The sequence below is a fragment of the Homo sapiens genome, chromosome X, assembly GCF_000001405.40.
Source record: "Homo sapiens chromosome X, GRCh38.p14 Primary Assembly".
NCBI classification, from domain to species: Eukaryota; Metazoa; Chordata; class Mammalia; order Primates; family Hominidae; genus Homo; species Homo sapiens.
This window is the reverse complement of record NC_000023.11, coordinates 111,510,344-111,523,378: the sequence shown is the minus strand read 5'-3', so window position 1 is coordinate 111,523,378 and position 13,035 is coordinate 111,510,344. Positions and strand designations below refer to the sequence as shown.

General features: G+C 37.0%; 1 protein-coding gene across 1 annotated transcript; it reads right to left on the bottom strand.

Annotated features, from left to right (window-relative positions):
• Positions 1-979: 979 nt before the first annotated feature.
• SERTM2 (serine rich and transmembrane domain containing 2) lies at positions 980-11,734 on the bottom strand. Its single transcript, NM_001354473.2, has 3 exons — positions 11,545-11,734; positions 11,285-11,381; positions 980-5,304 (listed from the first exon to the last, which is right to left on the bottom strand). Exon 3 carries the CDS (start codon positions 4,519-4,521, stop codon positions 4,249-4,251), a length of 273 nt encoding a protein of 90 aa, NP_001341402.1. The 5' UTR covers positions 4,522-5,304; positions 11,285-11,381; positions 11,545-11,734; the 3' UTR covers positions 980-4,248.
• Positions 11,735-13,035: the final 1,301 nt, after the last annotated feature.

Genomic DNA, 13,035 nt, shown 5'->3' with positions numbered 1-13,035 from the left:
ACACTACACAACGATTTGAAGAGATGGCAGAATTGTATTAATTTGTTTTGAATTATTGGAATCAAGGAGTTAATCACCCACAGAGCTCAATTGTTGTTTGCAGAACTTGGAGTGTTATAGAATGAATAGCTCTGAAATATCTCTTCAGTGCTCAGAAAGAAAAGCATGGTGGAATGAGTATTAAAACAGGAGTCCAAAGCCTTACAGTGTAATCTTGACTCTGCCTCTGTGTAACCACGAATGCCTCACAAATCTCTCTGTACCTGTTTTTTCTTTTGTCAAGCAGACTTCATATTATCTCCACTCACTACTCACAGGGTTACTGTGAGGATCAAATGAAGAAAGTACAAAATGGAAGCTACATTAAAAAAAAAATCTGGCCAGGCTTGGTGGCTCACACCTGTAATCCCAGCACTTTGGGAAGTCGAGGCAGGTGGATCACTTGAGCCCAGGAGTTGGAGACCACCCTAGCCAACATGGCAAAACCTCATTTCTACTAAAAATACCAAAAAAAGAAAAAAAAAAATTAGCATGCGCCTGTAGTCCCAGCTACTTGGGAGGCCAAGGTGAGAGGATCGCCTGATCCTGGGAAGATGAGGCTGCAGTGATCCATGATCGGGCCATTGTACTGCAGCCTGGGTGATTGGAGTGAGACCCTGTCTCAAAAAAAAAAAAAAAAAAAAAAAAAAAATCCTATCAGCAGAGGAATGTGGAAGGCTATTGGCACTTTAGACACCTTATCTCAATCTTCCCTCAGGTCACTCTTATTGACAGCTGGAAGTCATTCTTTTTTTTTGACAATTTACTACTAAACAAACAAATGCACCAATCACTTGACAAGTGGAGAGAGAATCAGAGAATAAGAAAAAATGAGACCTCAAAATTATAAAAGTCCCACAAATGTGCAGTCGTTACAATTTATACCGGGATGAAGAGACTAATGTCATTCTCTTTACATTCTTCAGACAATAGATACGTGTTATCATCAAACCAGTCATTATTTATTGTCCAGGGATCAAAAATGACATGCTAAATATTAATGCAAATATATTTCCATTTTTATACAATATGAATCTATTTCAAACATTAATAATTTCAAACAAAAGAAACTCAATTTTTTATTCCACACAATTCTTCATTTTGTTAAAAAAAAGTTCTTTTGTACAAATGCAAGTGAATAAAATGTATTACTAAATATAACCATTGAAATGTATTAAAATGGATCCCTTATACCTACTTAGTAAGTATGGTGGGATCTGCAGCAGTCAAACTCAGTTATGAGTCCAAAGCTTCAGATTTGGCATGGATGGAAAGGTTAGGCTGGATGAATTCATCTTTACTTGATTAACCTTAATATTTCCTACTTAATACATAATACATAATACATAAGCCTTTTACAATATACTTCATTTTGTACAACCCATGATTCTGAAATATATGCAAAATATATTTTAAAAAATTGGATTCTTTTTAAACATATTAGGAGAATTTACTATTTACAGAATTAATGTGGTGAGTCTTTGTATTAGGTTGAATTTTATGAAGTTGGTGATATTTGAGCATTTTTTGGCCTATCAAATGGCAATTTCATATGGTTCAGCTAATAAAAAGTGAAGAATTGTTCTTTTCATCTTAAAACAGAGTACACATATATATAAATAACCTACCTGTTTATATACTGGCTAATGTGCAATTTTGGAGGGAGTGGGGGTGGGGGAAGGCAATCCAAGTCAGCATTTCGAATAGAAGGATAAATTCAAATTGTGCCGTCTGGTTACTCTGGCTGCCTTTTTGAGCAGTAATATATGTTAATACATTGGGGAATAAATATAATGTAAAAATTCTTTTCTTTACAGTAAGTTTGCTACAATAAAAACATTCAGTTTATTTTCCTAAAGATTAAATACCATGTGAGTCATTATAATGACACATCTGCTTAAAAGCATTTCCATTTATATTGTCACTGGAAATTGGGTGGGGGGTGTTATGCTGCTATTTTGGTGTAATCTGTGCTGTGTGCTTTGGTTAATGCTCAGTGACGAGCTGGATCCCCATGGGGTAGTTGTGATGAAAGAGGTTGATAGTTTTCCATGTGAGTAACCTAATCATAAATTAGAAATCTTCATCCAAGTCAGTGCTTAAAAAGCAGTTTTATTCTCCTGAAATTTGGGTTGGGAAGGTCAGATGGGCAGAGAATAGATTTTCAGTCTGTATCTCTATTAGATTCAGCAACAAGGTATTTTGTATCTTGCTATTCACTGCTGTTGAAAGTATAATCAGTTCCTTCATTTAGCCAGCCACTGACTTCTCAAATGTAAAGTGCATTCAAATACTGTGGGCACAAAAGTGAGAGCCTGGAATGAGGGAAGATGTGTGTTCTTAAGAAGTTCTGGAGGGGGGGTGTTGCCAGTCTTGAGGAAGTCCATGTTTGGCTGCCAAAGCTCAAATTTTAAAGGGTCCACTGAATCTGGGTGTTGAATAAACACACAACTTAGACCATCAAGGTGTAATAATGTGAGTCACTTTGAGTTTTGAAAAATATATGCCCTATCCAAGTCTTAGCCTATCTGCTAATTTGTTTTGAATGATGCAGAGTGCAGCTCCCATCTCTGACAGTGCACAGTTGTAACAGGTGTGGCAGAGTCAGTCTTACTGCTAAGTTTAGCTCTGCATGTAGGGATTTCACACTTGCAGCCCCTTGGAGAGAGGAGCATTGACAAATGACTGTGTATAAAAGTGGAAAGCACTTGGGAATTTCACTACCAATCTAGATTTAGATCAGAGAAAAAGGGCCAATCTAAATTGGTTACAGACTACAAAGAGCTACATTTCTGGTGGAGGTGGCATTAATCTAACATCTATTTGATTTCTCTCTTACCATCATTACAGTTCCTGAGAGAGTACTCTGTGAAATTTGATGACCCCCCTTTAGGTACAAAAGATAACTTATTTTTTGTTTTAGCAAGTAAAATTTAACACAGGTGTACTCGTCCTTTGGTGGCAAGAATATGACCAGTTTTTTAAATTCTGATTTGTAAATGGTACTCATCTCCTTTGGTTTCCCTTTGAAAAGTTAGTTTTAAAAATTAAATTCTCTCCACACTACTGGCATACTAGGGCTACTTATGAGAATGGAATTTTTCAAAATATAATTCTCTTATAGGTAATAAGTGAAACACTTCATCTTTTGGCAGGGATCAGGAAGGGAGGAACATTTTCTGGGAAATACAAATGTGACATTTGAGGACATTGATCTCAATAAGGATTTGTTGGAGGATGTTGTTTAGTCCTTTCCTCCTTTGTCTCTCTCTCTTTTTTTTATGCTCAGATCTAAAGAGTATAGTGATGACTAAATAGCTCTCTAATCATTTTTCAGCACAAAAACCCTGGGACTCAGAAGGCTTGAATGTTTTGTCCAAAGCCATATTCAACAACAGAATACCAACATCATTTTATTTCTGCTCTAAAGTACAGTTGAGTCTTGTTTGCAAAGGCACCTTTTAAACAAAGCTCATATTTGTGTGCAACTCTATCCTAGAGTGTGAGAGGGAGAGAGAAAAAGACAAAGAAGCTGCATGAATAGAATTAATATGGATATAATATGCACATTTTTCTCTCTCTAGATGAGTTTGTTTACTAGAAACTTCTTTCTGAAAACTTGCTCTCTAAACTGAAACAGTTTCTTTAAATCTCTTCTTTCATTTGAAACAAACCGGATTGCCTAAGATGATCAAATCACTGCTGTTTAGGGAAAGGGCTTCTCTTCCATTAACTTCTGACATAATTTAACTTTGTATAGAGGTGATTCTCTAGGATCAAAACACTAAATTAGAACTTGTCCTTTTCTTGGGATATCCTCTTTGAAGGATCAGCCCTTTCAAAAGCAAATCTTCTTTGTTTGTTTTTGGAGCTTCCAGGGACCCTGTGCTTCTTACAACCACTGCGCATGAATTTCTGTGGTCTGAGGTTTGTGCAAGGCCCAGGCACTGTTTGGTTACTATGGAAACCAGCCCTCCCAACCAGCTGTCTTTTCCTATATTCCTTTCAGAGTGAGTCTTAAACGTTTTAGATAGCCCACAAGCAGAGTAAAGATGAAGAATAACACAAAGAAAACATGAACAGCTTGCTGTTAAATGAACAACTTGTGGATTCCCTACATGGGAAGCTTCATGCAAGAAAGCAAGCTCTCCTGGACATCCATATATAAGGGTTTACCCAGATCCACTAAAGCTCACCTTCATCCTGGCTTTAGGGAGTGGGGATTCGACTCTGCATCTCTACATCTGTGAACTGAGGAACACTTTCTGTGCTGTCAGAGTTGATGGGCGAGATGACATGTTTGAGCCGAAGGAGCATTGTGAAGAGCAGGATGAGGAGAATGGCCAGGAGGCTCAGGAATAAGCCCACATACATGTACAGGTTGGAATACTTGTCTGAAGAGGTATCAACCTCTGTTGCCAGAGTGGGAAAATGGGCACGCCCAGTGAGATTTCCATGGTATTTAAAATGCGCCTCCATCATCACTCAAGACTTGAGTTAGTATGTGTTTCTATTTGATTTCTACTGCCCTTGAGGCATTTCACAGTCACTTAGACTGTCTCTAAATCTATTGGACGTGTTCTAACAATCTGGTAAAAACCAATCACTCTCAGAGCTAAGGCAATAGCACACAAGCAGAAAATGGTGATGCTATTTGACAATTGCAACACCCTCTCTATCCTTCAGCACAGCAATCGCCCCTCCAATAGGTTTTATCAGAGCTTCTTAATCAATTTTTAAAAATACAAGTAATGTTTTATTTTCCACACTCCTACTTTTATACTGATTAAAATAAATATGGGTGAAACTGCTTTATAATACTGTTATTAGAACAAGAATCTTTTAGAGTATTATATCAGTGTTTTGCTCTGTTTTCGTAGATGGAGAAAAGGCTCGTTTTGCCTATACCTAATCTAGATGTGTGGACTAATTATGTGGACTTAATTGGGCTCTTCTGCGAGGAGACTATCTGAAGGCTTTTGTATATATCAGGCTCAGCTTATCTGAGTTTTCACCCCGTTTATCTGTATTTCTGAACCTTCCCTAAGGATGGAGATTGTAAGGTTCCTGCCCAGCTGCACAGCTTGTAAGTCTACAGAATGTGAGTTTTCTGTAGCTTTGTTGACATCCCTCACTGTAGGCTGGAGGGAAAGTGTTGTCAGACCTGGTAATTCTCAGGTGAGAGAGGTCTCAGAGATGCTGACAGCAGTAGGCCTAGGCTCAGGAGATTTGGCTCTTCAGATTCTCCAACAGATATTGATTTTCCTGAAAATCAAAAACAAAAATAAAAGATTCAGTTATCTCTAAGAAAAACAAATGGCAATGTATTTTGAAATAAAAATAAATTGATAAATTGCAAAATGGTTTGCTATATGCAAACTAATTTTAGAATGCTTTTTCTTCTCTGTAGAAAATAGCTTTTAAAAGGTTAAAGAAAAAAATCACATCAGTAAACAGCAGCTAATGACTAACCTATATTAGAACAACGTTTTCTAAACCAACTGATCATAAGATTTACTTGGGGGTACTTATTAATATACAGATCCTGGGCCCAAACCTAGACTTCCTGAATCATAATCTCCACAGTAGGGGCCTGGGCACCACTCTAGAGATTCAGACTTTATTGGTCTGGGATGGGACCCAAGCACTGCTATTAAAAAAAAAAATAGCCACCCATATTCAAAGTTCATGTTTAGAATGCCAAGTTAAATCATTTTGGAAGACTTCAGCAGTAAATAGTTGACCCTATTTACATGGTGGAATGCTTTTGCCCACAAAAAGAAGGTTCTATCTATACCAATGATGAAGGATGCATTTATTTGCTCAGAATAGGCACACCCTCTCAATTCCTTCTGGTCTAAAAACACTGGGGAAAAATGTCTATTTTTACCCCACATATCTAAATAAGAGAGATAGAAGAAAAGCAATAAAGTCTTTTCCAAGTAACTTCAAAGCGCAGCCAGGACTAAGAACCACTGATCTAGTTGAACCAGAAAGCCTAGCACTGAAACAAAGGAATCCTAAGTTTAAGGAATTGTTTTTCAATCTCCAGATCCCAGTGACAATTGTTACTTTAATGAATCAGGGGAACATTCAGGAATGCAGGCTTCCTCCAATTTTCTTTTTTTGTTCTATCTCTCTCATTTAGATCTGTAGAGTGGAAATAGACATTTCCCCCCAATAGTTATAGACCAGAAGGAATTGAGAGGGTATGCCTATTCTGAGCAAATAAATGCACTGCATGCTTTATCGTTGGTAAAGCTAGAACCTTCTTTTTATTGGCAAAAACATTCCACTGTGTAAATAGGGTCAACTATTCACTGCTGAAGTCTTCCAAAATGATTTAACTTGCCATTCTAAACATGAATTTTGAATATGGGTGGCTAAAATAAACAATATAAACAACCATCACCTGTCACACTTCTATGTGCAATAGTAGATTGCTAACAATGTAGCCTAGTTCTGTCTGTTGTTAACATACCCAAGGAGAGTTCATAGAAATAGCTCCAACGGTCACATTATTTTTCCTATCATATTGAATTTTGCCCCCAGCTTGGGAACACTTCAGCTTAAAGTTTGTATTCCCTAGCCCACGTTACTATACTTTCCATAATCCATATTTTTCTTAGTCTACCTGCTTACTGTTCCTATTGCCCATACAGAATAACTTGGTTCATAAGAAACAAGAGCAGAGAGAGAGAGAGAGATATATAATATCTTTCCACTATATTTGGAGCAATGGTCTAGGAAACATTTTTCTATCCTTACAAGTGCAGCTATTTTGATATTTGATTAGCTGGGATCAAGGCCCAGGAATACGCATACTAAACACAAGCCTTTCAAGTATTTCTTTGTATACTGAGCTTTGAGAGTTAATTATTGTTTTTTCTCTCTAGATAGCCCAGCTAAAGAATACAGCTAATCTATCTTATTGGTTGTTTGGAGGCTGTACTTTTAAAAGCATTTAAAACAGTGTTATGGGTGAATAGTGTCACCCCCCAAAAATGGTGAAGTCCTAAACTCCAGTAACTGTGAATGTAACCTTATTTGGAAATAAGACCTTGTAGATGGAATCAAGTCAATATATTAGGTTGGCCCTAATATAATGACTGGTGTTCTCACAAGAAGAGGAGAAGACAGAGGCATACAAGCAGAAGACAGAGGCAGAGATTAGAGTGGTGCATCTACCAGCCAAGGAATGCTGAGGATTGCCAGCAAATACCAGAGGCTCGAAGTGGCAAGGAAGGAGTCTACCCTACAGATTTCAGAGAGTGCACGGCCCTACTGATGCCATGATTCCAGACTTCTATACTCCAGGCCTGAAAGAATAAATTTCTGTTGTTTTAAGTCACCTAGCTTATACAATTTTTTATGGCAGTTTTAGGAAGCAAATATATGGACTAATCACCCTGAAACCCTAGTGTTTTGGAACCTTTGGGGCAGTGTTTCTCAGAGTGGTCAAGGGAAGTGCCTTCATCAGAATCACCTACAGGGTGTTTATTATGAATAAAAACACGGACCCTTTCCCAGACCCTTTCCCTTTTTTCTTAGATTAGAATCTCTGGGGACAGTATCCTGGAATCAATGTTTGAAACAAGTTACCCACTTGTTTCTAAGCACACTCTTCAGGGAATGTTTTTCAGTCCTTGCTCTACTTTAATATTACTTAGTATGTTTTTGAAAATATATATAACTGGGTCTTTTCTTCAGGGTTTCTGATTCAGTAGCTCTGTATGGGGCATGAACATCTGTATTGCTTAAAAGCTCCACAGGTGATTTTGATATGCAGCCAGGGCTGAGAAACACCAGTCTACAAATAGAACAGAGCACTTCAAATCAGGACTCTAACAGTCCCAGACAGCCCACACAGCTCAATTGCTTCACTATGTATTCAGAGTGCTTCATATATAGGTTGTCAGTCTCACTGGCCTTCCTCCTCACCACTTCTCCCAGCAGCTCCTTTCCTTAAGAATGGTAGTAACCTAGAGATAAGAGCTTAATGGATTTTTCACCCATGTATCTCCTAAGTTACTTTTTCACCTGCCTTCCAGAAAAGAAGGGTAAGGAAAAATAAACACTCACTGCTAGTGCAAGTCAAGTGGGAGAAACCTCTACACTATTCTAGTATCTTTATACTCCCTTTTGGACCCCAAGTATACAGAATCAGGTAAGTCATACTCCTTGGTTTATGGCACATTGTCATCACTGGTAAATTTGAGCTCTTTTTATTCACTTATTTAATAATATATTGAACACCCATGGACAAACATCTGTGGGCAAACATCTACCAACTTTAAGATTGAGAATAACTAATAATTTACACGACATCTACCTATGCTCCTCCCATCTCATCCTCTTACCTATCCTTCTCCAGAAATAACCAATAACCAATATTCTGAATTTTGTGACTCATTACCTTCCTTTTATTTACACACACACACACACACACACCCCTATGCCTAAACGATGTTAGTATTATTTGTTTTGAACTTTATAAAAAATATACCAAACTGTGTAATCTTCAACTTGCTATTTTATTCTATATTTTATTACTATACAATTTATTTATAACTAGTCTAGTGGAATGAAAAAGGAAAAAGAAATAAAATGTTGGAAGTCTACATGTTGCCTTTGGATTTTACTCCATTCTCCTTAGCTTGACATTTAAGGCTGTCAATGCCTTGGCCCTGGCTTACCTTAATTCCTTCCATTACCCTCTTTCCAATAAAACTGTAATGCTCACTCTTACCTACTTCCCTGCTTCCACATTTTTGTTTGACCAGTTCCTTCTATCTTCACACATCTCTGGGTGAGGAAATACTACAATTCTTCAAGATTTAGTTCATGAAGCTGATCTTGACTTTCCACCCTAACCCTAATTTCCACAATGCTTTGTATTTCTCTTAGAGGAATTAAATTTGACAAATATTGCAGGTATCTAGTTGATATGTTTTCTTCTAAATTGTAACTTACAAAATTCTTGAGGATCATTTTCAGCAGTCTATCCCTGATACAGCTTTGCTTGCAGTAGCTGCTCAAGAATTATTGAATAAATGCATGGGTATGATGAAGAAATGTACCTAACATTTACAGTTCAAAGAGAGGCACAGTCTTATCTCTGATCCGATTGCTAATATAGCTTGGAGAAGAATATAACTTTCTCTTTTCTTTTTATTCCCTTCCCCCACTGTTCAATTTCTTATTGGAGACTAAATTCCAGATTATAATCTAGAATTAAGAAATTATCACCTTGTTAGAAACTCTCTTCATGAAGTGCTATTTCAGTTACAAGATTTTAAAGGAAAACTACATGGGATTGGTTAGATTTTAAATTAAATTTTAGAAAGTTCACTTGTGTCTGCAGATAATTTTCAATAACAATTGATACTACATTTTCTGCCTCCTACACAATTGACTCTGAATCTTCCTTAGGTCTGAATACTTATTCAATATTTATTAGAATTCTATGAAGCTTGGAGAAGCTTAGAGAACAATGATCTCAGCTAACCTTGTCAATTTCTTTAAACATTTCCTTTGAAAGTTTGGAAAACTAGCTAATCACATATTTCTTAAAGCCTCTACAGTCTTCGGGAGACCAAACAGTCTGGTCAATTTAGGGAGGTTTATCAATTTAATTCCTTAAATCCATTAAGGACTTTGAAATGAATAAATGCAACGTTAGATATTAGGAAATCCTCTTTTTTGTTACTCTGGTCCTATATCTGTGACTACTTCTCATAAAAGCTTTTCAAACAGGATTGTCATGGCTCTCTTTGCTAACTAATTAATGAGTTGCACAGATAATATGATTGCTCTGTTAAAAGCTCTGCACCATTTGGAAAGAAAAACAACCATGCAATTTCAAAAGGAATTCAAATTCTATTAATTCTGAAGGATATGATTTTTTGTGGAAAGAATTATTTTAGTATCCTGCAGTTCTTTCTGGAAAGCTCATGCAATAAAAATCAGTTTCTAGTCTTTGTAAAAGTGATTGAAAGCTGTTGAGGGAAAAGGAGGAGAGTGAGGAATGGAAAAGGGGGTAAGGAATTAGGGAAAGAAAGAAAGGAAGATAGAGGAAGAGGGAAGGGAGAGAGGAGGAAAAGAAAGAAATGTGAGAAATGAGTAAAGACTATGAGGGATGTGGGATGGAGATAAGATGGGGCAGGAAATGAGTGATTATGAGGGGGAGAAGGAAGGGAAGGAGGTAATATTGAGAAAGAATGGAGCAAAAAAAGAGGAAGAGAAGTTTGGGGGAAAGGGAAAAGAGAAAGTGTTTAATAACTGGTCAATGTCCAATATTAACTTGTACATCTGGTTTACTTCACTTCTAATGTAAACCAAAATACTCACAAGTGACATGAATATGCACCTTTGGTTTTCTAATTGCATATTTTGTCATTAATTTGGTAAATAAAATCTTAGTAACAAAAAGTCTTGTGTTTTTAGTATAAACATTGAAATGTCAAGTTCTCACTAATTTTTGACATCAGCATAGTGTATATAACCTCATAGGAGCAAAATAACATACACTCCTAGATCATGAATTTTGCTCCCCAGAATGATAAGGGAATAACTTTCTGCATCAATCAAGCCCGAGAGGGATTCTTTGAGTGAAACTTATTTGTAGCAAGAGCAACCAAGTTCTCCACAGGCCTCCAAAATCAGATTAACATTTCTTTGGCAAACATTTATTGAGTGCCAATCAAGTTCCAGACACTTTTTTAGGTGCTGGAGATATAAAATAAGTGTACCCTGATCTCTGTTTGGTTCTCAGGGTGCTCCTAGTAGTTACTTTTATTTTCTTTAACATGATAAGGTTCTGGGAACAACCCACTGGTAATTTTACATTTTTCTGCATGACACCTGCCTATATAATTCCAGAGCTGAAATCTCATCAAGTAGTTAAGGAAAACCTTCAGTGGAACAATTCAGAAAAGAAATTCAAAACTATCAACTGATATCAGCTTTTAAGAGTTAATACATTCTATTTATATTTATCTTCCTAGCTGAGGAGAAAAAACTGAGAGAGAGAAGTGTGTCTAGTTCCACATCACCCTGTGAAAAAACGATTCCAGCAGCAAATGCTTCTTCAGTGGCTGGAGCCATTAAGTAATAAGCTCGCTCAAGTAGGAGTTGCTGTATCTTCTGCAGCAGATGGTGCCTATTTGTCACACCTGCCGATAAATAAAATAATGCCTCTCACTTCACCGGGATTAACATCGTAATATTTCCAAATATTTCTTACCTCTCCTGGCCCACAGTATGAATAGGATTGGTCACTTAAGTATCCCTTTTGAAGCTTTCACCAACAGGTAACTTGTTCAGGAACATCTCTGGAATAGCTGGAACATAGAATGAAAGCCTTGTTTTGCCAAAGAAGCAGGACTATGTTCATGCAAAGTATGGTTTCTCTTTCATCTTCCTAAAGAGTAATCCCTTTGCAGAAAAACAGAAAAACACCTTCTATTACTTAAAATGTTACTTAAAATGTCAGTTACCACTTACAGCTTCAGAGTGCAGCTTCAGATGCCTGCTCCTTATAAGCTCTGAAAAGCAAAGAGAAGTCTGTTTGGATGTGTGTGTGCCCTCTGGAACATTTGAATGAAAGCAGCCTGAATTAGTCTAAGTCCCCAGTTCCTCTTTCGCAGGCAACAGTTTAGAGTATGCGGGAAAGGTAGTGATTCAGCTCTGCTCTGTCTCAGCGGTGTGGAGAGGGAGGAGATAAGAGAGGCTGAGAAGCAAAGTTTGTATAAGCTTTCTACTTTAACCCCTTAGAGGCTTCCTCATGAATCTGTAAGACTAGCTGAGGCTCCCTATCTTTATAAAAGCTGCTTCATATGTCATTTAAGAGGATCAAATCTCTAGCTAAATTCAAGAGGTTTTTCATCCTGGGTCTTACAGTAATATATGCTTAGAATTGAAACCAAACATTCCAGGATGTGATAGTGCTTAAATAATTCCATCTTTACAAACAGAATGTTTGCATGTGTATATTTCTAGGTTTGAAAAAGATTTTTTAGGCACCAACTTAATACATTTGATTTAAATATTTTGTGGAAATGTAACATCAGCCTGAGTTTCTGGTTGGGGTTCTAAGATTAAAGTAGAACATTTTCTAAGTAGTCATATCTAGCCAGGGTATATATTCCACTATAAGTTATTCATCCATTTGTAGTCAAAGGCCCTTATCATCTTTTACATATTGTGGCAGGAGGAAGGAGATTAACGTTTCTTGAGTGCCTACTCTATATCAAACATTTAACATAAAGAACTTAATTTAATCCTCACAACAGCCCTGTGATTTGGGTATTATGATCCTCATTTTACAAATGGGGAACCTGAGACTTAGAGAGAAAGTATATCATGTAGTTTAGTAAGCCTAGAGCCAGCACTGGAGAACAAGGCCATGTGATCCCAAAATCTCTGCTGTTTTCTCTGTAGCAGTGTTTCTTAATCTTTGTGGATCTTGGATTCCTTTGAGAGTCTAAGGAAAGCTACAGACCTTCCCCTTCCTCAGAAATAGGGATAAAATTTCTGTGCTCCATGGCCTCCAGGTTAAGAACAGCTGAATGTCCCAATGTTACTTCTCCAATATTATACCATCATTAGTGCATTGCTCATCCAACAACACATGATCATAAACAATTTTTATTATGGTATCAATAATCACAATAGTATTAATTATAGTGTCATGCCAATCTTTAAGAAATTACTGCAGTGATTTTCACTTTATTCCCAAATTCTCCTTAACAATTCTTGCATACTATGTCTTTCCATTTCCCTCATTCCAGTGGTTAAAATCAATTGAGGCTGTCCTTGAAATCCTTGCCTTACCAGCATATTCTAGTACCTTCTTTCTCAAACTGTGGAATATGCTGGTGTTTCTCAAACTACAGTAGTATGCTCAAGAAAGTACAGGATAAACATAGTGTATTTTCCTAGATGATTGAATTTACTTGAATATTTGGACAAGGAGAACGTAGATAGTTTAAGTGA